General features: G+C 47.6%; 1 protein-coding gene and 1 non-coding gene across 9 annotated transcripts, besides 9 other annotated features; both read right to left on the bottom strand.

Moving 5' to 3' along the window:
- Positions 1-27,688, bottom strand: WDR91 (WD repeat domain 91). 8 transcript variants are annotated; one of them, NM_001362736.2, is made up of 16 exons: positions 27,542-27,688; positions 25,738-25,917; positions 24,953-25,160; positions 23,282-23,364; positions 22,090-22,220; positions 20,430-20,595; positions 14,155-14,313; positions 12,306-12,499; positions 11,096-11,246; positions 10,732-10,788; positions 9,740-9,834; positions 9,393-9,561; positions 5,506-5,614; positions 4,595-4,707; positions 3,134-3,331; positions 1-2,477 (listed from the first exon to the last, which is right to left on the bottom strand). In NM_001362736.2, exons 1-16 carry the CDS (start codon positions 27,662-27,664, stop codon positions 2,313-2,315), a joined length of 2,301 nt encoding a protein of 766 aa, NP_001349665.1. In that variant the 5' UTR covers positions 27,665-27,688; the 3' UTR covers positions 1-2,312. The 8 variants fall into 8 exon arrangements, 6 of the variants coding, with proteins under 6 accessions (NP_001349665.1, NP_054868.3, NP_001349666.1 ...); NM_014149.4 differs by lacking the exon at positions 10,732-10,788; NM_001362737.2 differs by lacking the exon at positions 10,732-10,788 and having other exon boundaries at positions 9,393-9,639.
- Positions 3,216-3,265: an enhancer, noted in NCBI's record as "active region_26709". NCBI's record gives its function as "activates an Ori minimal core promoter by ATAC-STARR-seq in GM12878 lymphoblastoid cells {active_cell/tissue: GM12878}" and the evidence as "EXISTENCE:reporter gene assay evidence [ECO:0000049][PMID:35858748]".
- Positions 4,647-4,866: an enhancer, noted in NCBI's record as "active region_26710". NCBI's record gives its function as "activates an Ori minimal core promoter by ATAC-STARR-seq in GM12878 lymphoblastoid cells {active_cell/tissue: GM12878}" and the evidence as "EXISTENCE:reporter gene assay evidence [ECO:0000049][PMID:35858748]".
- Positions 4,907-5,036: an enhancer, noted in NCBI's record as "active region_26711". NCBI's record gives its function as "activates an Ori minimal core promoter by ATAC-STARR-seq in GM12878 lymphoblastoid cells {active_cell/tissue: GM12878}" and the evidence as "EXISTENCE:reporter gene assay evidence [ECO:0000049][PMID:35858748]".
- Positions 9,358-10,557: an enhancer, noted in NCBI's record as "CDK7 strongly-dependent group 2 enhancer chr7:134877948-134879147 (GRCh37/hg19 assembly coordinates)". NCBI's record gives its function as "activates an origin of replication core promoter dependent on BRD2, BRD4, P300/CBP, MED14 and CDK7 cofactors, with strong dependence on CDK7, by STARR-seq in HCT116 cells {active_cell/tissue: HCT116}" and the evidence as "EXISTENCE:reporter gene assay evidence [ECO:0000049][PMID:35650434]".
- Positions 13,641-13,900: an enhancer, noted in NCBI's record as "active region_26712". NCBI's record gives its function as "activates an Ori minimal core promoter by ATAC-STARR-seq in GM12878 lymphoblastoid cells {active_cell/tissue: GM12878}" and the evidence as "EXISTENCE:reporter gene assay evidence [ECO:0000049][PMID:35858748]".
- Positions 19,990-20,204: a silencer, noted in NCBI's record as "fragment chr7:134888580-134888794 (GRCh37/hg19 assembly coordinates)". NCBI's record gives its function as "represses an EF-1alpha promoter that drives an FKBP-Casp9 reporter gene in an ReSE screen in HepG2 liver carcinoma cells {active_cell/tissue: HepG2}" and the evidence as "EXISTENCE:reporter gene assay evidence [ECO:0000049][PMID:32094911]".
- Positions 23,072-23,231: a silencer, noted in NCBI's record as "silent region_18677". NCBI's record gives its function as "represses an Ori minimal core promoter by ATAC-STARR-seq in GM12878 lymphoblastoid cells {active_cell/tissue: GM12878}" and the evidence as "EXISTENCE:reporter gene assay evidence [ECO:0000049][PMID:35858748]".
- MIR6509 (microRNA 6509) lies at positions 23,156-23,240 on the bottom strand. The gene has a single exon (NR_106764.1). It is a non-coding gene; the product is annotated as a microRNA 6509 (primary transcript).
- Positions 25,021-26,220: an enhancer, noted in NCBI's record as "BRD4-independent group 4 enhancer chr7:134893611-134894810 (GRCh37/hg19 assembly coordinates)". NCBI's record gives its function as "activates an origin of replication core promoter dependent on BRD2, P300/CBP, MED14 and CDK7 cofactors, and independent of BRD4, by STARR-seq in HCT116 cells {active_cell/tissue: HCT116}" and the evidence as "EXISTENCE:reporter gene assay evidence [ECO:0000049][PMID:35650434]".
- Positions 27,391-27,930: a silencer, noted in NCBI's record as "silent region_18678". NCBI's record gives its function as "represses an Ori minimal core promoter by ATAC-STARR-seq in GM12878 lymphoblastoid cells {active_cell/tissue: GM12878}" and the evidence as "EXISTENCE:reporter gene assay evidence [ECO:0000049][PMID:35858748]".

A 27,953-nucleotide genomic window follows, 5' to 3' on the forward strand; every position in this document is an offset into this window, starting at 1 on the left:
GAAGTTCCAACATGCTTTATTTGAGGACGAGCGCTCACCCGGGATGGAGTAAGAAGTGGGATGGGAGAAGCGTAGGGTTCAAATTTTCTTTGTGTCTCTGTGATCCTTAAAGCATCTCAGCAAGCTGTAGAGATGGTATTAAGGGGAGAGAAAACTTTGAGATGACAAGAGGAAACGTTAATACCATTCTCACTCCAATGAAACCCATGACCACTTTTTAAATGTCCTACAGAATCACTGGGTGAGATAAGTAAGATCACTGTTTCAATACAGATGGGGAAAGATAATAAATAAAGAAGTCTTGGTTTTCTTCATTTGCAGGGAGGATTACCAGGGTAGAAATGGGTAAAAATCGGTAAATAACTATTTACTACTGTCTCTGGTGTTTTCTCATAATCAAGCCACTTAAATACCTCCCTACTTTTCCCTCAACTCCCAGAACAAAGCCAAGACTTTGGTACCAATTTCTTCGTGCTTTTCCTCAAGCAGGTAACTAGGAGTATCCCTACTCCAGCCTTGTGCCCCTAGAACTGGGCTGGAGCTCAGAGACTTAAAATGACTCATGGCAGCTGCCTTCCCCAGCTCAGTGATAAGGTCGCCCCTGCCAAACACTGGAGACCAAAGCCCAGGTCCATCACTCCCATAGTGACTCCTCCCATAAGCTCTGCCTCAGCTGTGAAAGGCAAGAGGGAGAAGGGGAGTGAGGCTCTTGTTCCTCCTCACCTAGTGGGAAGATATGCCTCTTCAAGGTCCCACCCCAGCCAGGGAGGAGAGGGCAGGCCTCAGGCAGGGTGTGGACACAGCTGGTTGACACTCAGCTCAGCTACAGATCGGCTCAGCCACAGTTGGGCCGGCCTGAACCCCAGGTGCCCACCAGCAGCAACTTGGCCCCCTTGCTCTACCTTCTCACCATTCGCCAGCAGTGGGTGCAGGCAGCCATCATCTTTCCACAAAGATGTTCAGTTGGAGGAATGAGAGGAGCCACCAAATGAAAAAGGTACAGGTTGAGCGTCCTTAACCCAAAGATCCAAAATCAAAAATGCTCCATAACCCAAAACTTTTTTTTTTTTTGAGTTGGGTTCTCCCAGTGGCGTGATCTCGGCTCACTGCAACCTCCGCCTCCTGGGCTCAAGTGATTCTCCTGCCCCAGCCTCCAGAGTAGCTGGGATTATAGGCACCTGCCACCATGCCTGGCTAATTTTGGTATTTTTAGTAGAGATGGGGTTTCACCATGTTGGCCAGGCTGGTCTCAAGCTCCTGACCTTAAGTGATCCACCCACCTTGGCCTCCCAAAGTGCTGGGATTACAGACGTGAGCCACCGTGCCCAGCCCCAAAACTGTGAGCACCAACATGACACCACAAGTGGAAAATACCACACCTGACCACAATCAATACTTTGTTTCATGTACAAAATTATTTAAAATACTGTATAGAGTTACCTTCAGGCTACATGTATAAGGTATATATAAAACATGAATGAATTTCATGTTTAGACATGAGACCTACCAAGATACCTCATTATGTATATATGCAAATATTCCAAAGTCTGAAAAAATCCAAAATCTGTAACACTCCTGTCCCAAGCATTTCAGATAAGAAACGCTTAGCCTGTCTTGGGAAACAGCAGCCACTGGATGGAAAGGGGCAGCCAGTAGCAGAGGCCTCAGCCCCTGCCTTCATCCTGAGAATCTTCTGTAACAAAAGCTGCCAGCTTTCAGGGAAGAAAAAGAATTCTGTGGCCTTGACTTAAGCCCAGAGAAACAGGAACTGCCAAACCTTGTTACCCAGCAGAACAGACAGAGAGCTGACCTGGCTCCATGGCAAAGCAACAGGAGAGCCTGGAGAGGTTCAGTTCAGGGCCAGCAGAGCCAGGCTGGGTGGGAGGGCTGTCACTGAAGCAAAGTGACACACATCCTAGAAAGAGACATCAGGGGACCACAAGAGTATTCTCTTTTTTTAAAAAAGAAAAAGATAAATGGGCACATATATACAAAATACTGTCAATTTCTACTGGGCCAACACAGTAGCCACTGCAATGTTTCTCCTTCTTCCGGAGCTTTCCTCCCATAGTCTCACATGTACTCCTGGCACAGCCACAATACCAGTCTCTGGGAAGCATATGTCACCTACTCCACGTGGGTCCCATTCCAGTCACCACAGATGGAAGCACCTGAGCCTCCTTGCCAGTCTTTCCCTGCAGAGTCACTGCACTGGCAGGGAGCTGGAGTGGAGCACGTGGTTTTCCTGTCCTATATCTCCTCCCCCCACCGCAGATAATACTGCTTCCTCGGGTGGCCCTTGGGGCAAGTCATCAGGCTTTATGGGCCAGGAGGGTGGTCAGCTTGATCTTGCCATCCATGGAGGCGGTGAGGCAGGTCCCACAGTCCATGGCAGTGCTCCAGTCCACGGTGACCACAGGGGCTCGGTGGCCACCTAGGCTCAAGCAGCTCTCCAGAACCTTCTCATCGCCACCCAGCTGCAAGAGGACAGGAAAGAGGAGGAGGTGTCAGCAAACACCAGTTACACACACTTGATCCACTTTCAGTGGCCTACCTGAGGATGTGCCTGAGGCCAGACACACATGCCCACCTTTCCAGAAAGTCTGTTTAACTTTTTGAACCAGGAAATGCTTGCACTTTCCCAACTACAGCTGGTCCATCTGAAGTGGAAAACAAGTCCCTGAGCGGCTCCTTAAAAAAAGGCATTTTCTCAGCTGCCTTGAACTTGCTGTGGGCTGGTGCCTCTTGCACGCACACTGGTTGTTCTCACTACAGCATCACTTCTCACTACCTGGCAGGTGCTCATGAATCTGCTTATTTGTTGAAGGTTCATGTCCCATACTGGGGAATGCAAGCTGCAGGAGAGCAGGGCCTCGGGCAGCTCTCTCCTGCCGGGGGGCCAGCCTGCCACACCCAGAACAGTGCTGGCCACAGGGGAGCCTTCAGTTAGTGCAGAAACATGGCTCTCCTCTGAACCCCAGCACTAGCTAGCCAGCGATCCTTTGTCAAAGGCATCTCCACAGCCATGCAGCTCGGGGTAGAGGGCCTCGCTCAGTAGCCATGGCCCAGACCTCCAGGGAGGAACCCCTGCCCACCACAATACCACTACCTCCCACCCCCAACCATCAGTTACCTTGTAGATGACGCCGCCTGTGGCAGAACATGTCAGCATGTAATTTCCCTCCGAGTCAAAAGCGAAGAGTCGGCCCCTGGGGACTTGAACCTGCTTGTAGCCGCTGTATCCAGACAGCACAAAGGGGCCCGTGGCATCTGAGGGGAGGCTGTACTCGGATACCTTGAGGCCACTCTTGTGGATGTTCCACTGGATGAACTGCAGTCACAGGGCACAAGCAGGGTGCTCGCAGCGGAGCTGGCCAATGCAGGCCTCAAGGAAGAGCCAGGACCCACCCCACAGCAGAGGCTGGCGAGGGCGACCCGCCTCCCCCAGCCACAGTGCTGACATCCTTGAAAAGCCTTTCAAGTGCCAGAGGCAGAAAAGTGGGTGAGAGGTCTACAGGTCCTATCTCTGGTCAACATGATTTAAGCATTTTTTAGGGAAGAAAATCTAGAAAAAGAGGCAGCAACCTCACATTAAAGTCCAACCCTTCTCTTTCTCTCTGGCCTGACCCTAGGAGAGGAAAAGGGACAGCAAGTGGCTTTGCCTGGATTCCTGGTCTCTCAAGCAGGAGGAATGCTTCAAGTGACATATTATTATTATTATTATCAGAGTTAGACCCCAACTAGATTTTTCTATCCTAGGAACAAGGTACAGAGGACAAAGTCCACATATATTTCCAGTGTTTCAGGCATATAATCAATTGAACACTGGGCGATGCCATTATAAACTCAGCTTCTTATCATAGCAGACATCATCCCTTAGCCTACCCTACGGACAGGATACTTGGCTGTGACCACCTCTTCACTGAGCATCCCACATAACAAGGAAGTCGAGCTTTAATGTAAAAGTCCCTTCCCAAACTTTTCAAATGAAGAATTTATTTTGTAGTTACTCCTTTCAAGGGATAAAAAGATAGACAGTGTCCAATCCCAAAAGTCCAGGCAGGCACACATGGAAAGGGCATCCTTCTCCCATCTCTGCCCCTGCCAGCTCCCCCTCTGAGGCAGTCACTATTCCTAGTTCCTAACCCTCCACAGAGGGAATCTACCAGGGGCATGTACTTTTCCTTTTTTTCTGGCTTCTTGTTTACATCTCTGGGCTCTGCTGGGGTCTGTACACATCTAAGAAGCTGTACCCAGCCACTCAGCAAACTACACATCCATGAGTGGTCCTGGGACCACTCACTACCAAGCCCAGCAAAGCAAACTCAGCCCTAAATCCAGACCCCACAGATACATCTATGGTAAGATGAGTAATTTTTGGTACTTCCTTTCATAAGGATAGCCAACTCCCACTGAATTCACTAAAACCTCGCAAAGATTGTAAGACGAATTACTAGTTTATCCCTATTCTACAGATAACAAAGCTGCAAAAAGAGGCCCCAGGTTGCAGAGCTAGTAACAGGTATGGCCACAACCTGCAGCCGGCCCACATGTCATCCCGGTGCTCTCTTATCTGAATCCTGCAGCCGCCTACCTTCCCGTCCTCGCCGATGCTGTACACGGTGTTCTCATCATAGCTGAACTCCACAGAGTAGACCTCCCCGTAGTGGGCCCTCCAGCTCATCGCGCACTCATGCTGCTGCATGTCTGAGGCAATGAGACACGGCCACTCACATCCTGGCCAGGGCTCTGCAGAAGGAATCTGCCTGCAGCAGGAGGCCCCCTCACCCTCTACTCAGGCTGACAGCTGTTCTGGAAGCCAAGGGCAGGCACCCAGGACCCAATGAGCGCCATAAAGCTGCCCCTGCCCAAGAGGTCAGGCTGCTTCTAAGCCTCAGAGGCAGCTTCTTTCACCAGGTCAGAAGTGAGGCTCAGGAGTCCCTGGGGGGAGCTCACCTGGGGAGCCCTAAGTCTAGGAAGACACCTGAGAAACTCCCCTCTGTAACTTCCCCATGTGCCCTGGGAATCCCCTAAAGATACAGTTGCCTTGCCCCAGCCCAGGCTCTGGGGATGTCTCCTGGGGACAGAGCCCAACCTGGGGATTTCTACACAGCATGCCAGGTGATTCTGATGTATGCCTCTGGTTAAGGAGCACTGTTCTGATGCTTTTGAGAATCAACTACCCACAGCAAGTAGGTAGGACAGCAGTACTCTTGTATGCCCTCCTGTATTTCACATGGGTGACAAGGACTCAGATGGAACAACTCAAGACTCAAGGACCGCTGAGCTCCACCCCCTCCCATGTCTATTGACACTAACTATGGGCGAGTTTATTACGGTGGGTGTTTTGAAAACGTTGACCAAAGTTAAGCTGTAGTACATGCATCTGAAGTCAGGGTTTTGCAAAAGCCTCTAGCCCAGCTGGCAAAAAAATCCAACGTCGGCAAAAAAAATTGCCTGGGAAATCTAAGGAGATCAAGGATTGCTATGAGCACACTTGCATACCAAACAGCCGGATGACGCCATCAGCTGCCCCTGTGACCAGCAGGTTCCCGTTGTGATTGAAGGCTGTACAGTTGATAGCAATGGGTTCTGGATCCAGGGAGAACTGGAGCTATTGAAATAAAACAAAAATGTCAGTAGCAGATCTTCACTCAGCCCAGGCACGCTGCTTATTCCAATGCAGACAGGTGCCCCAGACTGGGTTTTCCACCAGCTCCTCCCTTATGTAATCTGGAAATGTAGATCTGAGCCTTTGCCAAAGTGCTGTGCCAGTGACCTTCTGTGCTCTTTTGAGAACAAGTTCTCTGTGCCTAAATACATTCTGGTTTCCATAGAGAAATGATAATCCATGCTTGCTCCATTATAAAAGAAATAATACATATCTTAGCAACCTACACTTCACCCAGAATGCATTCCAAGCAAATTCTCATTGAAAAGTCTTATGCCCTCAGAAAATAACACTTCATCAACTGCCTTTGATGACAGACAACACTAATAAACCTGCCCTATGGCTCCCCACAGAAACACTCAGAAATATAGTAGCAAACAAAACCACCTCATAGAACATAATGTCTATTAATTACATAATTAATGAACACTATCATTTCAAACAATATGAAACCCTGGGAACACTAAATAATCCTCCTGAAATTAAAAATGCAAGATAGAATGTTATTTAAAATACACACAGAGTACTGAGCTAGCAAATAAAAGAATCCTCTAGGGCCACAACTAAGAGAAAGCAAGAACGCAGAGAACCAGTGCACTCCAAAGCCGGCTTTCACTATGGGGAATTAATCAGATCCAGATGACTCAAGTTCCCATTCTGCTACCCATGAGGAGCTCAGGAGCCTGGAGACAACCATGTGTGATCTGCCCAAGGTCAGGCGATAAGAAACCGTCACATGGAGCTGAGACTCCAAAGAGCTATACCTTCAGTGCAGGAATGAACTAGAAACAAACCTACTTCACAGAAAGGGATAACAAGAAAACTTACCTCCCTGCAAATTCATAACCACAAACTAGCCCTGACGTGGGAGGAACCTGGCAAAAATTAATGCAAATCCAAAGAAATGCACCTCCAACCCAGGCCTCAAAATATTCTCAGAGATACTGGCCCAAAAAACACCATGATCACAATTCATAAGAAACAGGAAAATAAGGCAAAAGGAGCCAGCACCCACAGAGACAACAGAGCAGAATCAGACCCACAAAGACTTCAGACATTAGATTTATAATGAGAACATACAAGCACATTCAATTGTTCAACAAAATAAAATAAGGAATTGAAAATATGGGTAAAAATGAGAGACTATAAACACGACAAAGCAGGTTTTAAAAAATGAAGGTGAGCTTCTAAAAATGAGAAACACAATAACTGAAATTACCATCCTAATAAATAGATGAAACAGAAGATTAGATATAGTAGAGGAGAGATTAGCAAACTGATGGATCTGAAGAAACTATTATCAAGAATGCAGCAAAGTGAAACAAAAAAGAGGAAGAGGCAAGTTCTAACACATATGGAATGGGAGTTCCAGAAGGCAAGAGATGATCAGAGAACAGCAATACTGGAAAAAATGATGACTGAGAATTTTCCAGAATTGAACAGACACAAATCCTCTGATTCAGAAAACAAATCCCAAGCAAAACTTCAAAAAAATTAATTTCAAAAGTTAAGAACCAGAAAATCCACATCCAGAGAACCAGGTAAGATTTTAAAAGCAGCCAGAGAGAAAAGACAACAAAGGAATGCCAATTACATGGAGAGCTAATGTCCCGGTCTCAGCAAAGGCAGCCAGAGGATGGACCAAGTCACAAGGTTAGGGAAGCAGTGTTCAGCCTGGAATACAAGAAGCTATTCTAGAAAAACACATATACTGTGGTTTATTCATATGGAGTCAGAAAACCTGCAAAACAAAAATTCGGTTGTTTAGGGATATATAGTAATTGACATGATAAAGTAATTTTTTAAATGTAAGGCAGGCCGGGTGCAGTGGCTCATGCCTGTAATCCTAGTACTTTGGGAAGCCCAGGTGGGTGGATCACCTGAGGTCAGGAGTTCGAGACCTGGCCAACATGGTGAAACCCCATTTCTACTAAAAATACAAAAAATTAGCTGGGTGTGGTGGTGGGCACCTGTAATCCCAGCTACTCAGGAGGTTGAGGCAGAAGAATTGCTTGAACTCAGAAGGCGGATGTTGTGCTGAGCAGAGATTGTGCCGCTGCACTCCAGCCTGGGTGACAGAGCAAGACTCCATCTCAAAAAAAAAAAAAAAAAAAAAGTAAGGCAACAGTATGACAAAATTCAAGACAGGTTCTCTCTGGAAGGGAAAAAGACCAAGACTGGGAAGGGCTACACAAGAGCTAAAAAGTATTGGTGATGTTCTGTATAAACTGTGATGGGTCTGTGGGTGCTCACTGTACTGCTTTTCTTCTCATTATACTATACACCTATGATTTCAATATGCTTTTGTATGTATTCAATGTCTAATTAAAAACTTGAAAATCACAAGTAAACATATAATTACAAATTGTAATAAGAACTTTGGAGGAAAATACAAGATGCTATGAACTAAGAGGAATTGAATTAAACTGGTGGAGAGGACAGTGGGCAGGGAGGGGCACGAGAGATAGGTCTAGAGTATGTCCCTGGAAATGCAGAGAAGTGGTCAGACTGGAAACACACTGGCAGCATTTGCTTATGGACTGACTGTGTGAGCAGAGGGAAAAAGACAGGTCTGGGAAGAACCCCAATTTCTGTTGTGTTTTTTTTTTTTTTTTTTTTTTTTTTTGAGACAGGGTCTCACTCTGTCACCCAGGCTGGAATACAGTGGCACCACATCAGCTCACTGCAGCCTCCACCTCCCAGGCTCAAGCAATTCTCTTGCCTCAGCCTCCCAAGTAGCTGGGACTACAAGTGAGCACCACCACACCTGGCTAATTTTTAAGTTTTTTGTAGAGACAAGGGCTCACTACATTGCCCAGGCTGGACTTGAACTCCTGGCCTCAAGCAATCCATCTGCCTCAGCTTCCCAAAGTGCTGGGATTACAGGCATGAGCAACTGCTCCTGGCCAAGATCCCCAATTTCTAAGTGAGGCACATTTGCCAAAGTGAGGAAAATTATGAGGGGAGGGATGGATGTGGCAAGGGGTGGAGGTCAAGAATTCGAGTGTGACCCTGACGGGCCTGAGAGGTCTGACAGACCCAAAGGGAACACAGACCACTTCTACAGGCAGATGCAGAACAGAACAAACTGAACATCTGGAACAGGAACCCACTGAAAGCAGGAGCCTTGAGCTTCCAGCAGCATCAGGAAACAATGTGTTCAACATAAAGGCCATATGACTTGTAAGCAGTGAAACGAATCATTTTAATAAGAAGTAGCACTGCCTTGGAAGGTGAGTTTAGCATCATTCAATCTCTCTGGGGCTCAGGGTGGCAGCTGCAGCATCTATTACTGTCTTGAAGGAAGGGGTCCTTGGCTCTGAGGTGGTGCCCAGGTCCCCTGGGAGCAAGTTCACAGGCTGTCTGGTCACCTCGCTTCTTACGAATCTGTATGTGTCCTTGCTACTGCTGGCTGCTGCTGCTATAATTCTCATACAATTTTAAGGTAACAGTATGTCAGAGGGAGGCACGAGTCCTCTCCTAAATAATCAACCACAGGGGCCCTCTGGTAGGTTCTGGGTGTCTTCTAAGTTTGTGGCACAATTCTGAATGACATGTCACTAACAATCTGCCCAGTTGGAGTACACTACTTTTCAACACTCAAAACTTTATTAAAAATCTGAGGAGACCAAAGCAAAAAGAGGGAAGAGGCTCTTCAGAAACCCAGGGGAATACAGAGTGTGTGCCTGGCCCCAGAGAGAGCCACAGGGCAGGCCCGTACCTGCTGCTTCATGGTTTTCGTGTCCCACAGCAGCAGCCTGCCAGGAACCTGGTTCATGCCCTTGCTGCCGATGTCTGGTGCTGAGAAGTCCACCTGGGAAGTGAGGCTCGGAGCTGCTGCCGAACAGACGAAAGAGGCCCCGTTGGGGCTGCACGCAAGAGACAGGATTCTGCAACACACATGGGCCTGGGTCAGACCCTCTGCCTGCCCACAGAGGGAGGGTGCACTTTGGTCCTGAGGCTGGATCCTGCACAGGAGATGGGGCATTAGGCTTGGGAAAGGACCAGCCCCGCGGACCACACTTGGCAGCCTGCGGCCTTGATGGTGGGGGGTAGGTTCCAGTTCACCTGGGCATGTTGTCGTTGATATTGATTTCACAGAGATTCTTCTTGGCTTCCGTGTCATAGAGACGCACTGTTCCCACACCACTGCCCAGCAAGAGCTGGAATGACAAGGGGCGGGAGGTGGGAAGGATAGCATGGAGTGAGGCTGAGTCAGGGAGGATCTCCAGAGGGGGTGAGGCTGGGCAGGCTGTGGGGGTGAGGCCCCTCCTCTACGCATCCAGGCAGTTCAGGGGAAATCTGGCTACAATGAGCCTCACTTTAAAATTAAACAAAGACGTGAGAGCTGACCTTGAACTTCTAAGCAAAACCACAAAAAGTATCTGTGGAATGGGAGAGACGCGTCACCTTGGACACATATGGAAATGTTCTGGCTGGTGAATGAGGCCCTCTGATCCTCCCTTTCTTCAGTTTGAAACCCCAGCTGTTGGAACCCTTCCTTCCCACTCTTGGTCTGCCCAGCACCCCTCCCAGCGTACTCGCTTCGGCTGCCACAGGGCCTGGGTGACTCCCATTTGCCTTTTCAGGGGACAGCTCTGGCTCTGGGTCTGTAAAGACCTCCAGAAAAAAAAATAAAAGGGGCTATCCTTGCCTTCAGGAACTTGTGACTTATTTGGTGAAAAGCTTCAAAGATAATAATAGTGCCAGAGGAAAGTGCCAGAAGCAGCCCAGGTCTGAGGGTGTCTCACAGGAATATTAGGTAGAGTGTGACCTCGGCATTCACTTGGCAAACTGGCGCTGGCACAGGGCAAGCCCTGAGGTCCTCATCCATGAGGATAATCCCTTCAGCTGCCAAAAATTATAGAAAAACAGGGTTTGCATCTTGGGCTATGTGGTATGATCCCCACAAATGAAGTAAAAGAAAAAACAGCAAGGCAATTTTACCTCCTTAACTACAAGTCCTATCTCAAATATCAAATCCAGAGGGAAGAACACTGTACTATTCCTGGGGACAATAAGACCCATGGGAACCACAAAATAGAACACCAGCCCCTCACCAGCGGAAGCCACTTCCCGTGGGGCCTGGCACGGGAGGGCGCCCACTGAAACTGCAGCTGGAAACACAGACAAATGGAGGGACAGCAGTCAGGCAGGTGGTCCCCAGGGCGGACCACCACAAACAGGAAGAAGCCGTGTGTTCCAGGCCCCCTGCAGCTCATTTCCATCTGTCAATCTGGTAACCTCCCTGTCTTCCCACAACAGGAGCCTTCTGGGCCAGTCCTGGATGTGTGTCCCTGAATCCCCAATAATGGAGAGAAGGGAGGGGAACTGGCTTGGCTGTCTTGACTCAGCCGGTGGAGAACCCTGGGGAATTCCTCCACTGAGCCAGCAAAGCGGGCCCCACAGGCCACCATTACTCACCAGTCTGTCCCGTTTGGTGGCCCATTCCAAAGACAGCAGCGGTGATTTGGAAATGGAGGATGCTTTGGTCTGCATGATGGGGTTGAAGGACCACACTTTGATGACCCCATCTACGTCTAAGCTGGCGACTCTCCTCCCAGAGCAGTCCACTCTGAGATGAGAGAAAAGGGAGGCCTGTCAGCTGGCCTCTCAGTCCCCATCCTCTTCTGCTAATGCCAAGATGATCACTTTCCTGACTTCCTTACTGTTTTAAAAAAACAATCCCTAGAGGTCTACATTCAAAGGACTGGTATAGACTATTTCTAGAAATATTCATTCATTCGTTTGTCTAAGAAATACTTATTAAGTGCCAACCATGTGCGGAGCTTTTGGTCAATTCTGGGCAAAGAGCCGTGAGCAAGAGTTGCAGGGCCCTGCCCTGAGGCCATTTGCAGTCTCTGGAGATTTAGAGCCTCCAACTCACACTCCAGAACAGCCCAAGGGCCCCAAGAGCCATCAGGGCTGTCAAAACGAGAAACCCATCTACAGCTGAAAATTATGCCCCACCAGGGTTTGTTCTTGAAAGGTTTATACTGTGCTTAAGTAAAAACTTACAAATGGTAAATTACAAATCAGGTATTTACCTAAAAGTACCATCATAAAGCAAATTAAAATTGAGTGAGTTTGGGGGGCTAAAATAAAGTGTAACTTGTTCCTAAAACTGAGAGAAACACAATTAGAAAGGGCAGAGAGGCCCGGTGCGGTGGCTTACGCCTGTAATCCCAGCACTGTGGGAGGCTGAGATGGGCAGATCACTTGAAGCCAGGAGTTCAAGACCAGCCTGGCCAACATGGTGAAACCCCGTCTCTACTACAAATATAAAAATCAGATGGGTGTGGTGGCAGGCATCTGTAATTCCAGCTACTTGGGAGGCTGAGGCACGAGAATCGCTTGAGCCTGGGAGGGCAAGGTTGCAGTGAGCCAAGATCGTGCCACTGCACTCCAGCCTAGGTGACAGAGCAAGACTCTGTCTCAATAAGGAAAAAAAAAAAAGGGCAGACAGGCTGACCAGTCCACTGGCAGCTCCAACCGACTCCCATGACTCTACTGCCATGACTGTGGCCCTCGTCCAAGCCCCCATTCTCCGCCATCTCCTGCTGGCCACACCTCCACGTGTACTGCCTGAAAATCTGAGCTTCCCAGGGTTTCCTTGGCCCCAGGCCCAACCCACCTGCAGTGCATGATGGATGAGTGGTGTTCCCCGTACTCCTCCTGTCCCAGCACAATAAAGGGCTGCTCGGGGCGGACTCCTCCACCCTCAGGGCCTGCCGAGGATGCCCGAGTCAGTGGCTCCACTGGCTCCGTGTGGAGCTCTGGGCAGGGCTCAGCCTCTGGGCCACTGGCTTCTGGTTTCTTCTCTGCACACTGTCACAAGCAGGGTGGGGACAAGTCAGCCAGGAAAGGGTCCCCCACACCAGGGTGTACACCGCAGGGGGTCTAGGCCTAGGCTGCAGCATTTTGCGGGGTTCTCGGTAATTACAGAGTGGAGAGGAGAGCTCTGACCTGCGAGGGTAGTGCTCAGCTCACCCTGGGAGAGTGCAGGGCCTGCCCTCCTGACAGCCCCTTCCTGGAGACTTTGCTCCACACAGGCCCTGCTGAAGGAGAGGGGGCTGTGGCCTCTCTGTGACACAGCTGATGGGACCCAGGACACACATCTGCCTTGACAACAGGCCAGGCGGAGGATGCGTGGTGCAGGCCACACACCGCGCTGAGTATTTTACAGATTTCTCTCATTTAGTCCTCCTCAAACAATGAGATGCTATTATCTTCCCCATTTTACAGCTGTGGAAACTAAAAGACTGAAAGAGAAGCCAAATCCCTTGCCCAAAGTCATATGGCTGGCAAGGGGGAGAAATTGGATGTGAAGCTGGGTGGGTAAGAGGTAAGCCCGGCCCCTTTCCAGTGCACCCCTAGGCCCACCAGCCCTCCTGGGAGGTGGGCACTGAGAAACTAAGAAACAGACACAACTGGCCAGGAAGAAAGACAGAGACCCAAGGGCCACTGGGGGTCCAAGGCTGCCCCATCTCTACGTCCCTGGGACAGCAGGTGTTGGCTACCATCTGGTGCTCACCTAGACACAATCCAGGCTGGGGGCATCGGCCAGGGCACTCTCTACCAGCCCTGGGGTCCGGATGCTCCTGCAAGTGCTTCCTCAGAGAGGCAGGAGGAGGAGTTCAACAATAAAAAAAAATAACAGAGGAACTTCAGACATTATGGGGCTCTGGGTGGCCCCCAAGTGCATCTTGAATCCTGAAATGCCAGAACTTATGATCTGAGCCTTAGGGGTCTGTTGTCACCACAGTACCAGGCTGTTAATGAGGAAATACCTTTAAAACAGGCAAATAGCCCCAATTATGAGATAAATGGTGAAGACAGTGACTTGGGCAAGAGAACCAGTAAATACCTTAGACTTTGCCATCAGTCGGGAGTATCTGGCAGAAACAGAAGCAGCTGTAATGCCACAAAGAGCAGGCTGTGGCCCACACTGGCCAGTGAGGGGAGTCCCCAGAGCCCAGGGCTCAGTACAGAAGGGCCTGGGCCACAGCCTCCCACTGTGTGGGCACATGGCCCTCAGTGCAGCAATACAGGCAGCTGGGCCTCAGGCAGCACAGGAGAAAGGAATCCTGTGACCAAGCAAGTCTGGGTGACTGGGTGAAACCGAGGGAACCAGGTCTCCAGGAGCCCACCACAGGCTGCTTAGCACAATTAACCTAAGGGAAGGATGAGTATGCAAAGGTTCCCAAGCCAGCTTAATCACAGAAGTCATCTTCTGAGAGCACTTCTAGAGGCCTGCATTTTCTGGCCCCTACTTAGGGAAATGCTGCATGGGAGAAATGGACCACAGAAAAGCCAGGCAAATGATGAACCCAAATAACCAAAATACAAGCCATTGAAACCAATTAAGCAAAAGCACACTCTGCACAGCTGCAGAACTCAGAAGAGAGAGAAGAGAAGACCCCCCACAGTGTTCCTCAGTAGCTGCATGAGTGTCCCCAGGGGTGTTCAGGACAACCCCATACCTGGGAAGTGGTTGTGGAGAAAAGCTCCTTCCTCTCCTTGCCATGGTCCTGCAGGCGCCGCTGCCGGTGCTGTGACCAACCGGACTCCCCAGTGGCCAGCCCGCTGAGGAGGCTCTTCCCATCCTTGGCTCCGGACGTCGGGTCCTTTCCCTTGGTGCCCTAGAGGAAAAGAAGCTGGCTGTGAAGTCTCTTCCCATCTGCCCAGGCCATGATAAGCATGCCAGGAGTGGTCAGCCCTGGGCGGGGGGGCGTGGTGGGTTGGGGGCAGGTGGTTAAAATGGTGTTGGCTCAGCTATGTAGGTGAGGTCATAGTCAGCCCCTGCTATGACCTCCTCCTTTCTGTCCTCTACCCGTTAAGAGGACAGGTCACCTGCAATCCTCATCCTGCGGTATCTCTCATCTGGAGGAAGATGTCATCTTGATCTAATCGGAACAATTTAGTCTAGTTGAGGGGAAGGAGCCAGCACTTACTAAGTGATGACTAAGGCAGGCCGGGGCCTACGCTTGGTGTTATACACATTTACAAGCAACAATATGTTTGGGCAATCTAAAAATTATTTATGCAACAAGCAATCACCTCTGGAGGGAAAAGGAAAAGGAACACAGTACCCTCTCTTGTTTTGGGCCAAGTGTGGACTAAACCAGCTAATATTAACAAATACTGAGGTGTTTGAAAATGATTACTAGAAAACCAGAAATTTTTAACAGAAATTGTTGAAAACCCAAGGAATGTTAAGAAAGATAAATCGGACAGGAAATAAACCGGTATTTTCTGGCTCCTTTTCATAACAACAGTGATAGGGTCAGCTAAGTTATAGCAAGAGGGGATGAATTTGATCATCCCCACCCCACCTGTATAGAGAGAAGAAGTCTCCATTCTTAATCTAGAAACTCTTAAAAGGAGCTGCCACCCCCACATCTTTCCAGATTGCTGGGCAGGGCTCTCTTTTTCCAGCTTTTTACCCACAAATTGTGATGGCCAAACACCCTCACCCTCATTTTTTACACTCTTAGCAAAGAGATATGAATGCAAACAGCTACTCAGGTTTGAGACCAATCTTCTCAAGAAACCATTTCTACACAAGCCCTAAGTGAAGAGAAGAAACTCAACCAAAGTCTACCTGCTGCTTTCCAGTTCTTCTACTTGTTATTTTTTATGTCAACAGTAAATAATTTAAAATGATTAACATGGATTCCTTGGAATCCTGCAGCCATGTGAACAGTTAAAAGAAAATTTTAAAGGACTATTAGCTTACCTGGAACCAAACCATGACTAACCTGCAGGGTATTTACTATTTTTGGCCTGTTTATAAACTTCAAGTACTTCCGTGAACAAAGAAAGGATGGTAAACCTGTCTCAATCAGCCACAAACACATTTAATTCCAAGTATCAGAATTGTGTCAATAACAATTGTGTATGGGTCCTGGGAGGACAAAAGCCACGGAGAGGTAATGTCCACTCCTCAGAGTTTCAGAGAGATGGAGTGGGGAGGTGGCCTGTTGGAGTTGGCTGTCAAGGCTAAGATCTGGGGAGGTGGTAGGCAGTTGTGTCGTGTCCTGTTTCAAGACAAGGCTCTGAAACCCCCGTAAGAAGAAATCACTGAAAATGCAAACACTGAGCAGCCACATCACAGTCCAGGAGGTGCCGCTTCCACATTTTGTGCTGCTACATGTATGCCGTGCTCTACATGGGTCACAGGGGGATTCTGCCTTGGAAGCAAAGGTGGGAACTGTTACAGAGGGAGACAGGCACTTTATGGGCCCCTTCCTGCCTTATTCAGCCCCTCCACTGGATAATGGTGTCTTTTCCTTTTTCAGCAACAGTAAAGAGTGCTCAATCAATTGGTGAATATTGATGGAAGGAGGAGGCTTCGAATTCCTCTGGCTTATTTGAAAGCCACTTGTAACACTTCCCCAGCAGGAGCAAACAATAAAACACTGAGAAGTACAAAGGTAATACTTCCCTCACAAGTCAAGATAGCAAGGAAGGCATCTGGTACAGAGAAGAACTACCTTTACAATGATAGGGCAGTTTACGCCAAGACAGTGATGGACCTAAGCATGACCTATCAGATTTTGCTTTAAAGAAGAGGATAGGTTCTCCTTTCTCCTTAAATCTATGTTAATCACTGAATAACAAAAGATAATAATATATTAAAAGCTGGTGAATGCGGTTGTCCACAAAACTTTTTAATAAGTAGGTGAAGGCCAATTTGTGTCTAGCCACAAATGTACAAAACAAGTGAATGCTTACTGGCAACTGTTAATTTTTTAGAAATAAAAGGCTAAAAAATAAAAACAAAGGAAAAAGGGGTAAAGTCACAATGCTATGTAAGTAATTACCTTCAAACAAATCCATAAAACTCTGGCCAAGCACTTGTGTATGGGTAAAGAGCTGGAGAGAGTGAAAGATGCCGGCAGAACTGTGTACTCTCTAGACAATGACACTTGCACACAGAGAAGCTTGCACCCTTCTGGAAGCTTCTTCTACTGTGACCCTACCTTACACATCTTTGTAACCTTAGCACCCAGCACCACGCCTCGCATAAGCTGGGCACTCATTCATGACTGGCTAAATAACAAATGGATGGACTGATGGACAGATGAAATAACTGTTCATTGAAAGTTTTATTTCATTTTAAGTGCAACCCTCATAATAGTCTTTAACTGCTGGCTTCAAATAACAGAATATCCCAATAGTCTAAAGTATATTCTATCATAATCTACCTGACTGCTACAGTTCAGGAGAGACACGGTAACCTCTGTCTTATCATTTGACCTTCTCACTCTGGAGACAGACATAAGTTGATACCCATTAATTTCCGGTGGAATGAGTAGGTCATGAGGGATTCCAGAGCCTCACAGAGCTTACCAGGATGGCAGCCATCCAAATGGAGCAGCAAACAACTTCCAGTAATTTGGTCTCACCTGAAGCTAAACAAAGCTACCCAGAAAACACGCCCTCATAACACAGAAATCCCAGAATGAAAGACAGGCTTTCTCCTTACTGCCAAGATCCTTGGGGAAAACCTTCAGGGCAGTGGTTGTGACCACTTACTTCTCAGTAACTGGGAGGTAATTTGACACTAATAACAGTCACAAGCACAGAAGTTTGTGGATGCTTTGGTGCCTTACATTACAGCCGATTAAAAGTTATCTCTATAATGAGGTAATTTCCATGGCTCACCAAGTGGGTGTGAAAGGAGCAGAATTCTTGCTGGTGGGAAGGATGGAGTACAAACTACAGGCTGTGTGAGCCAAGCAGCAGCCCAGGCAAGCCTGCTATGGATGTGCCCTCCCGGCTATTGTAATTAGAGATCCTAGAAGGGCTTGGGAAGTGTGGTTTCGCAGTTATTTCCACTAAAAAAAAAAAAAAAAAAAAAATTGCCTCCAGACTCATATTGAAAGCCTGGAGAGTATCTGCCAGGCTTTCAATACAAAAGCAATCTATTTTGCATCTGTTTTGCCATCTATTTTACAGGAATAATGCTATGAACGTTTCAGTAATAATGACAACAGGTACAGCAACCAATTACAAGGAGGCAAAGTGCTGATGTGAGCAAAATTTATAATGCTTTCTATAAATTATATTTAAGATAGGAAAGTCTAATCATTTTTACATATTGCTAATTTAACAACAAAATACAGCCTATTTTTTGTGTGTGCTTATTCTTTAACAGTAAAAAAGAAAGAAGGGCTCTGGTGTGGTAGCAGCGAGGAAAAAAGATGACATGCTTAATATGCACTTACAAAGCAATGTGGCTTATTTAAAAACCAATGCCATTGTATACTGAGTTTAAAGCAGTACATTATGAAAATGGCAGGAAGTGATCTTTCCATGCCCTGCATTTAGTATCTTTGAGAGAGCATCTGGAATTGTACACTCAAATTTAGGTGTTAATTGTAATAGCGGGATTGAAACATTAGAATGTCCCCCAAAGCAGGGGGCCCAGGATGTGAGGGGAAATCATGCCATAGGGACAAACAGTTGAGGTGGGGGTTGGAGGGAGGGTGAACAAGAGTGCTTAGCATGGAAAAGGTAGGAAGAGTCATTCTACACAATAAGCCTTATTATTCTATGTAGCTCCAGAGGGCTAAGCTAAGATCTGTGAGGAAAAGTCATAAAGAAGTTTCTTCTAATAGCTTTCTAACATGCATATGTTCCCGCTTTGACAAGCAATGAGCTCTGCATCTTAGGAGGCAATCAATCCAGACACTGTACTCCTATACTCAGCAGGAGGTAGGCCAGACGACCTTCAAGCTTCCCTCTAAAATTCTGTGATTTTCTTGAACCTCAAATCTACTAGTTATTTTTAGACGTGAAACATTAATGCTGAATCTAAATCATCTACCATTAATAAAAAACAAGTGACCTGACTATTGGGTTTTTTAGATTAGAGATATCTTTCGTCTTCACTGAGGAACTACAAACTGCTCTGTTAACACACCACACAGTGACCAAATCTTTGTTCCATTATATTTTAGAGGAAAGGTAAGGCATGTTTTACTGCAAATCACACATTCTTATCCCCATTGCTTAGCTGTAAACTGCACAAATAATTTCCAATCTCATTTCAACCTCACCATGTGACACACAGTTCCTAACCACATAGAGTAGGGCCACAGCTTACTCCCACAGAAGCTGTCTCTATGTTTTCTTTCAAGTTAATGAAATTGAATTCCATAATTTCAAGCTCATTTCAAAGGACTCAACATTCCACACATCACCTATTAAACTTATAAAATGTTGCACAGTGAGAGATCCAGAAAGCAAGCAGTACAACTTACTCGGCCACACTCCACAGAACTGGAATTCTAACTTTAAGATTTGAATTTCAGAAAAATATTCATAGGAGTAACCATGTTTGAGTTTTAACTGCCTGAACCCTCATGGCAGCTAAATTACAGTTTTTTTGCATTAACGGCACTTTAGGTCTCAGAACTAACTCAGGTACCCACGTGGGCCAGGGCCTGCAGGAATACAACTTCTACTACCAACATTTACTGAGTGCTGACCCTCTGTCAAGCACTCTTCTTCTAGCAGCTCAATTCATCCTTCCCTGGGGAGTAAATACTATTATTATCATCCCGAGCAAACTGGGGTGGGTTTACCCAACCTGAGCACCAATGACAAACGAGGAGCCAGAGCTGAAAGTTAAGGTGCCTGGCCCCAAAGCCCATGCTCTTTCTGATCCAGTGTCCTGCTCAGTGTTTCAGTTCAACAATACTCAGCCCAAGTGCTGTATTCCAGTGGCAGCCTGAGGCAGACCCCTACCTCCCTGGGTACAGCGAGCAGCCCCAAACTGCTGTGCCACTTGCAACTGGTCTCACACCGAGGCTGGTAGGAGAAGAAGCCACAGACTATGACTATTTATTTTATCTGTAACTAATAATACACTCAAAGTGTCCCTACGCAAGCAATAAACAGTCTGCAGGCATTTCTGAAAGCAATGAATTCTGACAATGTCTGCTAGTTAAACTAGTCAGTGGGACCCTTGGCTGTTTTGGATATAAGCTGACATCAAAAAAAGATCCGCTTGCAGTCTTCCATAAAAGTGAGAAATAGTGAAAATCCTTTGCAGAATCAGCAAATACCAACTTGTAGGCAAAATGCATGGATTCAGAGGTAATTCTTGATTTAGTCTTTAGCCAAACACTATTTTTATATCACCAAAAATTCAAAATTCTAATTGCCTGAACTCACACTTGAGCCACCAAAACAGTCATAAGCCCTTATGAGTTCATAGGAAATTTATGAGAAAAGAGGGGAGACTCTTCAAAGCCTACTTCCTGTCATCAGCTATCTACTACTTCAACCAGAAAGCATCACAGACTTCAGAGAACTGGCACAGGAGTGCAGGCAAGGGAAGGCAGCCCCTTGGGTCAGGAGACCTGGGTGTGAGGTCTGGCACTGCCTTGATCAGTGCACAAGATCTACCCAGCAATCAAACACCACAGTGCCTGCAGTCTAGCCAGAGGTGAAGATGAAGCGGGGAGCCAGAATGCATTCGGTGGATTTTCCTCCTCCTCCTCTCAAATCGTCTGCTACAGTCTAATCTAGATTCTCATCCTGCAGAACCATCACTTTCTGAGAGGAAAGCCAGGAAAGGGGGAAGAAAGGGAATGAGATTTCAATTCAGAATCTCATCAACATGCCCAAGAAATCAGTCCTAAAAGGAGGGCAAACAAGTCTACACTTGACCAGGAGGTCTGGAAGCACAGGGAGCTGTCACGGCCTTCTTGGCCAGAGTTAGAGAGGCAGGACTTGTGCTTACCTGACCACCGAAGGACTCTTTCTTGGCCGAGCTCTGAGGTTGAGGAGGGCCCTGAGCAGGCGACAACCTTGAGGGGCTCTTCTTACTCTGAGGCAGCAGCGAGGACAGGAAGCCCACACGAGGTGACTGGGAGAGGGAGGCATTCCTTTGGCTGCACACCATGGCACTGGTCAGCAAACACACCACAGGGTCAGAGGGCTGAAACAGGATGTGGAAAAACCAAGAACATAGACCTCCCGGGCTATGGATGACGTTAAGTGACCAGGCCTGGGTCAGGTCCAAGAGCCTGGGCTTTAAGGTGGTATTATCCTTGGCATCATTTTTTTGCACAAAGGGAGCCAGCAGCTTATCTGTTACAAGGGTGAAGTCTGCGGCTCTTCTTTGAGGGTCACAGTAAACTCAGAGCTGTCTTGTCCAATAGCCACTGGTCACGTGTGCTACTGAGCAAATGAAATGTGGTTAGTCCAAATCAAGATGTGCTAGAGATGTAAAATTGACACTGGAATTCAAAGACTTGGCATGAAAAGAATAAAATAGCTCATTAACATTTTGTTTATATCCATTACATATTGAAATGATGTTTTGAATATACTAGGCCAAATAAAATATATCATTAAAATTAACTTCATCTTGTTTTTTTTTTAACATAGCTACTAAAAAAATTAAATTACGTATTTGGCTCGCATTTTATTTCCATCAGAAAGAACTGGCACCACCACTAGAGCTATTTCATCTGGTGCAATACTTGGCTATGTGGAGGTCTGGAATCCGGCTGCCTGGGTTTGCATCGTGACTCACCAATCACTGTCTTCCTCACCTGTGTGTACCTCTGTTTCTTCAACCACTACTATTATTATCACCAGCTGGGGCTTCTGCTTTAACTGGCTGTTTCTGAAGGTCAAATACCTCTCTCTAATCTGCCTTCCTCTTTAAACCGTCAGAGAGGTGCATGCTTCTACTGAGGAATGCATCCAACCTGTGGTTACCAATCTTTCCATACATGAGATGCTCCTTCCAATGCACAAAACCTTCCCAAGACTTTACCACAGTGGTTGCGTTTTTATTTATCCTGACTACACATATCTGGATGTAGAGCTGGCAGAGCTGTGCAGTTCCCCACCTCTAGGCAGAGCCACAGGCTCGGAGGCTCAGAACTCCTAGAGGACTTCTGAGGCCATGGGGACCTTACTCATAAAGCTCTGAAGCAAGGCTGGACACGGTGGCTCACGCCTGTAATCCCAGCACTTTGGGAGGCCAAGGCAGGTGGATCACTTGATGTCAGGAGTTGGGACTAGCCTGGCCAATACGATGAAATCCCATCTCTACTAAAAATACAAAAAAAATTAGCCAGGCATGGTGGCATGCACTTGTAATCCCAGCTACTTGGGAGGCTGAGGCAGGAGAGTCTCTTGAACCCAGGAGGCAGAAGTTGCTTTGAGCCAAGATTGTGCCACGGCACTCTAGCCTGGGCGACAGAGCGAGACTCCATCTCTAAAAATAAAAATAAAGCTCTCAAGCAAGAGCAGTGTGTGCCAGGAGGCTCTTCCGCAATTCTCCTTCAGCAGGCACAGAGGACTGCAGGCAAGGCAAGATCAGAGGGAACTGTGGGGCTGAGAGCACAGAGGGCAAAGAAAAGGAAAGGGCCGTCACACACACTCACAGTTCCGAGTCCCCCAGGCGGTCCATGTTGGAGACATAAGGAGGCAATTTGTGTTGGACCAAGGCCTCTTCCTCTTCTGGCTGTTGCTCCTCTTTCTTCAGTCGGTGGATTTCAGCTTGCAATGCAAAAAGCTATACAGGGGTGGGACTGAGTTAGCCAATGATCTCACCTAACCTTCCCTCTGCGGAGGAAGATTTCTAGACACATCGCATCCAAGCCCACTGGTCTGAGTGCCACTCGCCTCAGCGTCAAGGGGCCCATCTCACTCTGCTCACTGCAGACTGGGAAAAGTGACTGCTGTCACTGGACAACAATGAGGTGAGAAAACCAAAAACCATTAGAAATCCAAAACCCATTTTCTTTTTAATCATTTGACTTGCTTCCTCCTAGATTCACTGAGAAAAATAGCTCCACCCAACCTGTTTTGCTTTTTAGAATCTACAAAATCAGGCTTTAGAACTCTCAAAGCCTGACTCTGGAATGGAAAAAAAAAAAAAACCTGTTAATGAACTACAGCGTTTTTAACCTTTTGCCTGAAGAAAATTACATATACACACACCCCAAATCCCAAGAATCTTAAACCCCATAACCTAAACAGCCTATAATCTTCCTTTTCCTAACAATATCACCTAAGGAGATCTTAATTTCAGGAAAGAGAAATGTTCCTCAGGCAACATGTACAGGCAAATGTGGGTCCCCTGGCTCTATTGTTTTATCAAACTAGAGAAGCATATAGCTGAGTAGGAACAACTAAATTATATATGGGTTATAAACTATATATATGTGTGTGTGTGTATATATAGTTTATATATATACATATAGTTTACATATATATGTGTATATATATATACACACATATATAGCTATACGTGGAAAGACAAAACAGACACATGAAAACAGGTTAGTTATAAGGTGGCATGGATGCATATAGTCTTTTTCTCCTTAAAAGTTAATTACTGTTACTATATTGTTCATGCTACATATCTGACTTAAAATATGAATCTCGCCTCTGGTTTTCAGAGACTGTTACTCTCCAAATCCCCAATACTGACTTTCTGGTGACTCATTTCCATCTGAGAAATTAGGTAGTGGCAGTGGAAACCTGATTAATATAGTGTTCCACTGCCACTACCTAATTTCACACACAAAAAGCAGAAGTACTTCCTCAGGAGCAAGCCTGTTCAGAACAAACCTTCTGACGCAGAACTTCATTTTCTTCTTGAACCTGGTTAGTCCTCTGACACTCCGCATCAAAGTTCAGGATCACAGGGACTGGTGCACGAAGTTAAAGAATAAGCCAGCCCCTGAAATGTTTAAACGTCCTTCCCAAACCCTTGACACACCAGTAAAACACATGAGACACAGGGACACAGAGAACAGAGTATAGGAGCGGTGCTGTGGGCTCTTGCGGGCTTAATGAAATAGTCGCTCCCTACAGTCTTGTCTCTAAGACTTTCTCTAGGTCTGGCCTCATTTCATTCGGACAGATTCACAGACGCATGACCATCTGCCTGGCCAGCCCACAGAGGGGACATAAATCCAAACCTAAGCATTTTCTCTCAAATACCAGAAGCAAAGAGCTAGCATCCAGTGGACTTCACAGCCAGTCTGAGCTTTAGTGAGGTCACTACATTCAGCTAAAAGCAGCCCTGGAGGCCAGTGGCTCTGCAGTAATACAGCCAATGAGGCAGAAAAGACCAGTCAGTTGGCTTCGCCTCCCCAGGTTGAGCCTCTCCCTGGCAAAGGTTTGGACTGAGAAGAGAAAGCTTTCTGCAGATTGCGTGGCCACCCCAAGAACAACGACAGTCTATAGCTTGGGATACTGGTCCTTCTCCACTGCCTCAGGCAGCTTCAGTTAGGAGGAGCACAGAGCAGACAGGGCCTCAGAACTGGAGAGGGGACTAGAGCCCATATGTGTGTAAGCTAGTTTGAGAAGCACTGAAAAGATCTTGAGTGACAGTTTCGATTTCACTGGAGGGCCCACAAAGTTAACTGGAGAGCCCTCAGGATGAAGAGAGGGAACAACGGGGAAGAAACAAGGCAGTTCTGGCAAGGGTGGAATTCACACTCATCTGGGGCACAGAAAGGGTGAAGGCAGGAAAGGTGCCCTTCCCACCTCCACCAGAAAGTGTTCCTCCCAGAGGCCAAAACGCCTGCCCATGGGTGGGCCTCTAAACACCCAAGTTTATCAGTGCCTCACCAGCCAGCCCCATTCAAGCCAGACTCCCTTCTCCTCCTCTAAATTTCCAGCCTAGGGAGCATGAACAATGGCCTTGGGAGCTCTGGCTTGTACACTTGGTAGGCTGTAAATTATTTACCTGCATTCTCATTCATTCCCCCTCTCCAATACCCGCATATATATTCTTAAAGCTACTGTGTTCTCTGGCAACTTGAGGAACACTGAAGTTACTATTAGAGACAATAACCCAAACACTAACACAGACAGAAGTTCCAACCCAAGAAGTCTTCTCATCTGTACCTAATCCCAGCAAAGGTATATCCCCGGGAACACGTTTCATGCACAGAGAGGGTACTCTCAAGGCTGCCCGGTTTCTCCAAGCAGCAGCTGCCTTCCAACCCCAGTGCCTGCTGACAAAGCCAGTACTAGCACCCCACTGCTGCCACTGTCACTGCCCACACGTCAGCTAATACTTCAGCAGCACAGTGTCAGAACTAAGATTTATGATTCCCTGGCTTACTGACAAAAACAACCACAATTTGTCCAGCCCCCTCATGTGACCCATAAAAATGGTCCCTGGGCATTTTTGTAGAAGAAATGCCTGTATGGAGACCAGCGGGCTACTGATCCTGAGGTCTGGGTGCCTCAGGCTGGGCCTTCAGCCCCAGGCAACTGAAAGGATATGCATGCACTGAAACAGGACGCTCAGGAAGTTGTGCAGGGACACAATGAAGGTGTCAGCCCACTGTCGAGAAAAGTAGGTAGCAAAGGTGGGGTTGGTGTCCGGGGATGGCAGGAAGGGCAGGACAAACCAATCCTTCCACTCAGCCTGGTTCTGGAGTTCCGTGGCCTGCTTTGCAAAGAACTCCTGAGCCTTGTCATTTCTGTTTGTCTGCCAAGACACAAGGAGGTAGCAAGGAGGGAGGAGAGACAGAAATCCAGAGGTAAGACTCTTCATCATTGCACAGCAGACAACCTTTGACTATCAGCCTGCCAGGTAAGTGGCAAAATAAAATTCCATAATATAAAGGAAATCATCACTCTTTTCTCAAGGAACTTGTCATTTCAAAGCTGGTTTAAGCTGAAGTTCTAATGATAAATCCCATCCTAAAAATTAATCCCTAGCTGATGTTCAAATAACTAAGTGACTCATTCCTCCAGGTCAGCTATCATCTTTATTACTCAAACTTTAACCCAGCTACTTATATTCTTTAAAATACCACCTTTGTTTTAAGCTTACATGCTTAACATAAAAAAGGAAATAGGAATGGGGAAGACAAGTCAGATGATCTACAGATGACGACAAGGAAAAAAAAGAAGAAAAACAGTCAAAAATAATTGCACTGTAACTGCTGCACTCTTTCCCATAGTCACATACAGATTCCTCCCTAGGAACTGGAAGAAAATCTATTTTGGGATCAAAGAGCTCCTTCCACCAAGGGAAGCAGAACCCCTGAATCAACAGGCACCTGGATTGTGTAGACAAGATAAAATCGAAACAGGCTGGTTTTCAGCTTGTGGATTGTGGGTCTGTATATATCCTCCAAGCGGCTGAAGAGCCGACGCTCCAAGTAGCTCCAATAATCCCGAAGGGCAGCCAAGTCATACACCTGCATTAACTGCTGCAGCTGGTCCACAATCTTATCCACCTGGCGAGAAACATGGATGGAGAAGGTGGTAAGGGACAGAAGGGAATTCTCCCCTCCATGGAATAAAGCTTTTTCCTCTTGTCATGGCTTCTGGGTGTAAAAAAAAATTTGTAAGTTAGCAATCTATAAAATTTTCAAAACATACTAATGCAACGGTTTTTCAGTAATTTTCTGATGTTAGAGAAGTGGTTTGACCCTCTAGCAAGCACGGAAATTTCAGGTGTAAAAGGGCTCTGGCCCAGAACCTAAGAGATCTGGCTCCAGATCTTGGATCTGCCTCTGACTTACTTGATCAATTTGGCAGTGTCATCAGGCCAGGCACCGTGGCTCACGCCTGTAATCCCAGCATTTTGGGAGGCTGAGGTGGATGGATCACCTGAGGTCAGGAGTTCGAGACCAGCCTTGCCAACATGGTGAAACCCCGACTCTACTAAAAATACAAAAATTAGCTGGACGTGGTGGCACGCGCCTGTAATCCCAGCTACTCGGGAGGCTGAGGCAGGAGAATCGCTTGAACCCAGAAGGCAGAGGTTGCAGTGAGCTGAGATCGTGCCACTGCACTCCAGCCTAAGCGACAGAGTGAGACTTTCTGTCAAAAAAGAAAAAAAAATGGCAGTGTTGCTTAACTGTAGTTTCAGTTACCTCACATTTTTAAAAAAGGGGGTGGGGTGAAGAAGAGCTATGAGACAATCTCCACAATTCCCAGATCCCAAGGATCATGAGGAGGTGCATGGACTGACTCCTTCAAGTCATCAAAGTTCCACGAAGCCGTGGTAGCTGCTCAGAGTGTCAGCCAAGGAAGTCACCTTCTTGTGAGGAGCAATTACAGCAGAGTACAGAATCTGGAAAAGGGTTTGGATATCAATACCAATCCAATGCCCCTAGTTTATAGATCAGGCCACTGAAGCCCAGAGGGGTGAAATGATTTGCTTTTGCCACTAAGTAGCCACTAACTTTGGCCAGGCAGGAAACCAGATCTCCTAACTCCCCTCCAGTGCTCTTGCTGTTAGCTCACTGCCTCTCATTGAAGTCAGTACACACAAACATACAAATCACACACATATACATTCCAAGAACCTCGCAATGGAAAATCATTTTAGAGCAGGGGAAGTTTGGGTTTCTCTAATGTGCCATGAGGTCTTCCACAACTGCAGAAGCAAAATTGCCGATGAGTCCCTGACGAGGCCATTTTAAACAAACACCGCAGATACTTGAACGCAGCTAACGTTTTGGACTGCAGACTTCTTTGCTTCCACTGCCACTGGAAGCCAACACGAATATCTGTTGCCAAAACGCAACCATCTACCTAACCTCGGCTCCTAAAACCTCATCGCCATCCTGGCCAAGGAGGCTGGAGTGGAGACAGAACCCTAGACCAGGAGCCGGGGCATCGGGGCTCCAGCCTCGGCGATGCTCCTGACTCGGGGGGCGGCTTCAGGCAGGTCCTGTCCGTCTGAGGGTCTCAGTTCCTCATCCGTCAAGCTGGGGTCGGACGCGCTGAGGTCTCCGGCGCCCCGGCGCGAGTGACAGCGCCGCTCTCGCCCCGGAGGCAGTGCTGGGGGGAAGCCCGCTCCCCGGCTCCCTCGGGCCGCCTCTGCCCGCGCCGCTCCCGCCGGCCTCTCACCCGGAACCCCTTCTCCTTGTCCGCCTTGATCTCGGCGTCCAGCTGCCGCAGTGTGTGCGTGAACCCGCGGAAGAGCAGGTACTCCCGGACCAGCTCGTCAGTGCGCTCCACGGCCTCCGCCATCGCAGCGCTAGCGTCTTTAGGGGTGGTGCGGTGAGGGACGGAGGGGCGGGGCCTGGGAGAAATGGGGCGGGGCCGGACGCGGGCGCCGAGCACGTCACGCCGCGACAGGCCTACCAGCCCGCACGCACTGGGCGACCAGCCTGAGGCCCCGCCCCTCGGCCGGCTCCCCGCCCGAGGCCCCGCCCCTGAGCCAGCCCCAGCCCGCCTGGCCGCTCGAGTCACCCTTACCCCTCCCGAGGAGTGGCGAGGGGAGGTCCTGGCGGCGCCGGCGGCGGCTTTGTCTGAATTA

Source organism: Homo sapiens, chromosome 7, assembly GCF_000001405.40.
Source record: "Homo sapiens chromosome 7, GRCh38.p14 Primary Assembly".
NCBI lineage: Eukaryota > Metazoa > Chordata > Mammalia > Primates > Hominidae > Homo > Homo sapiens.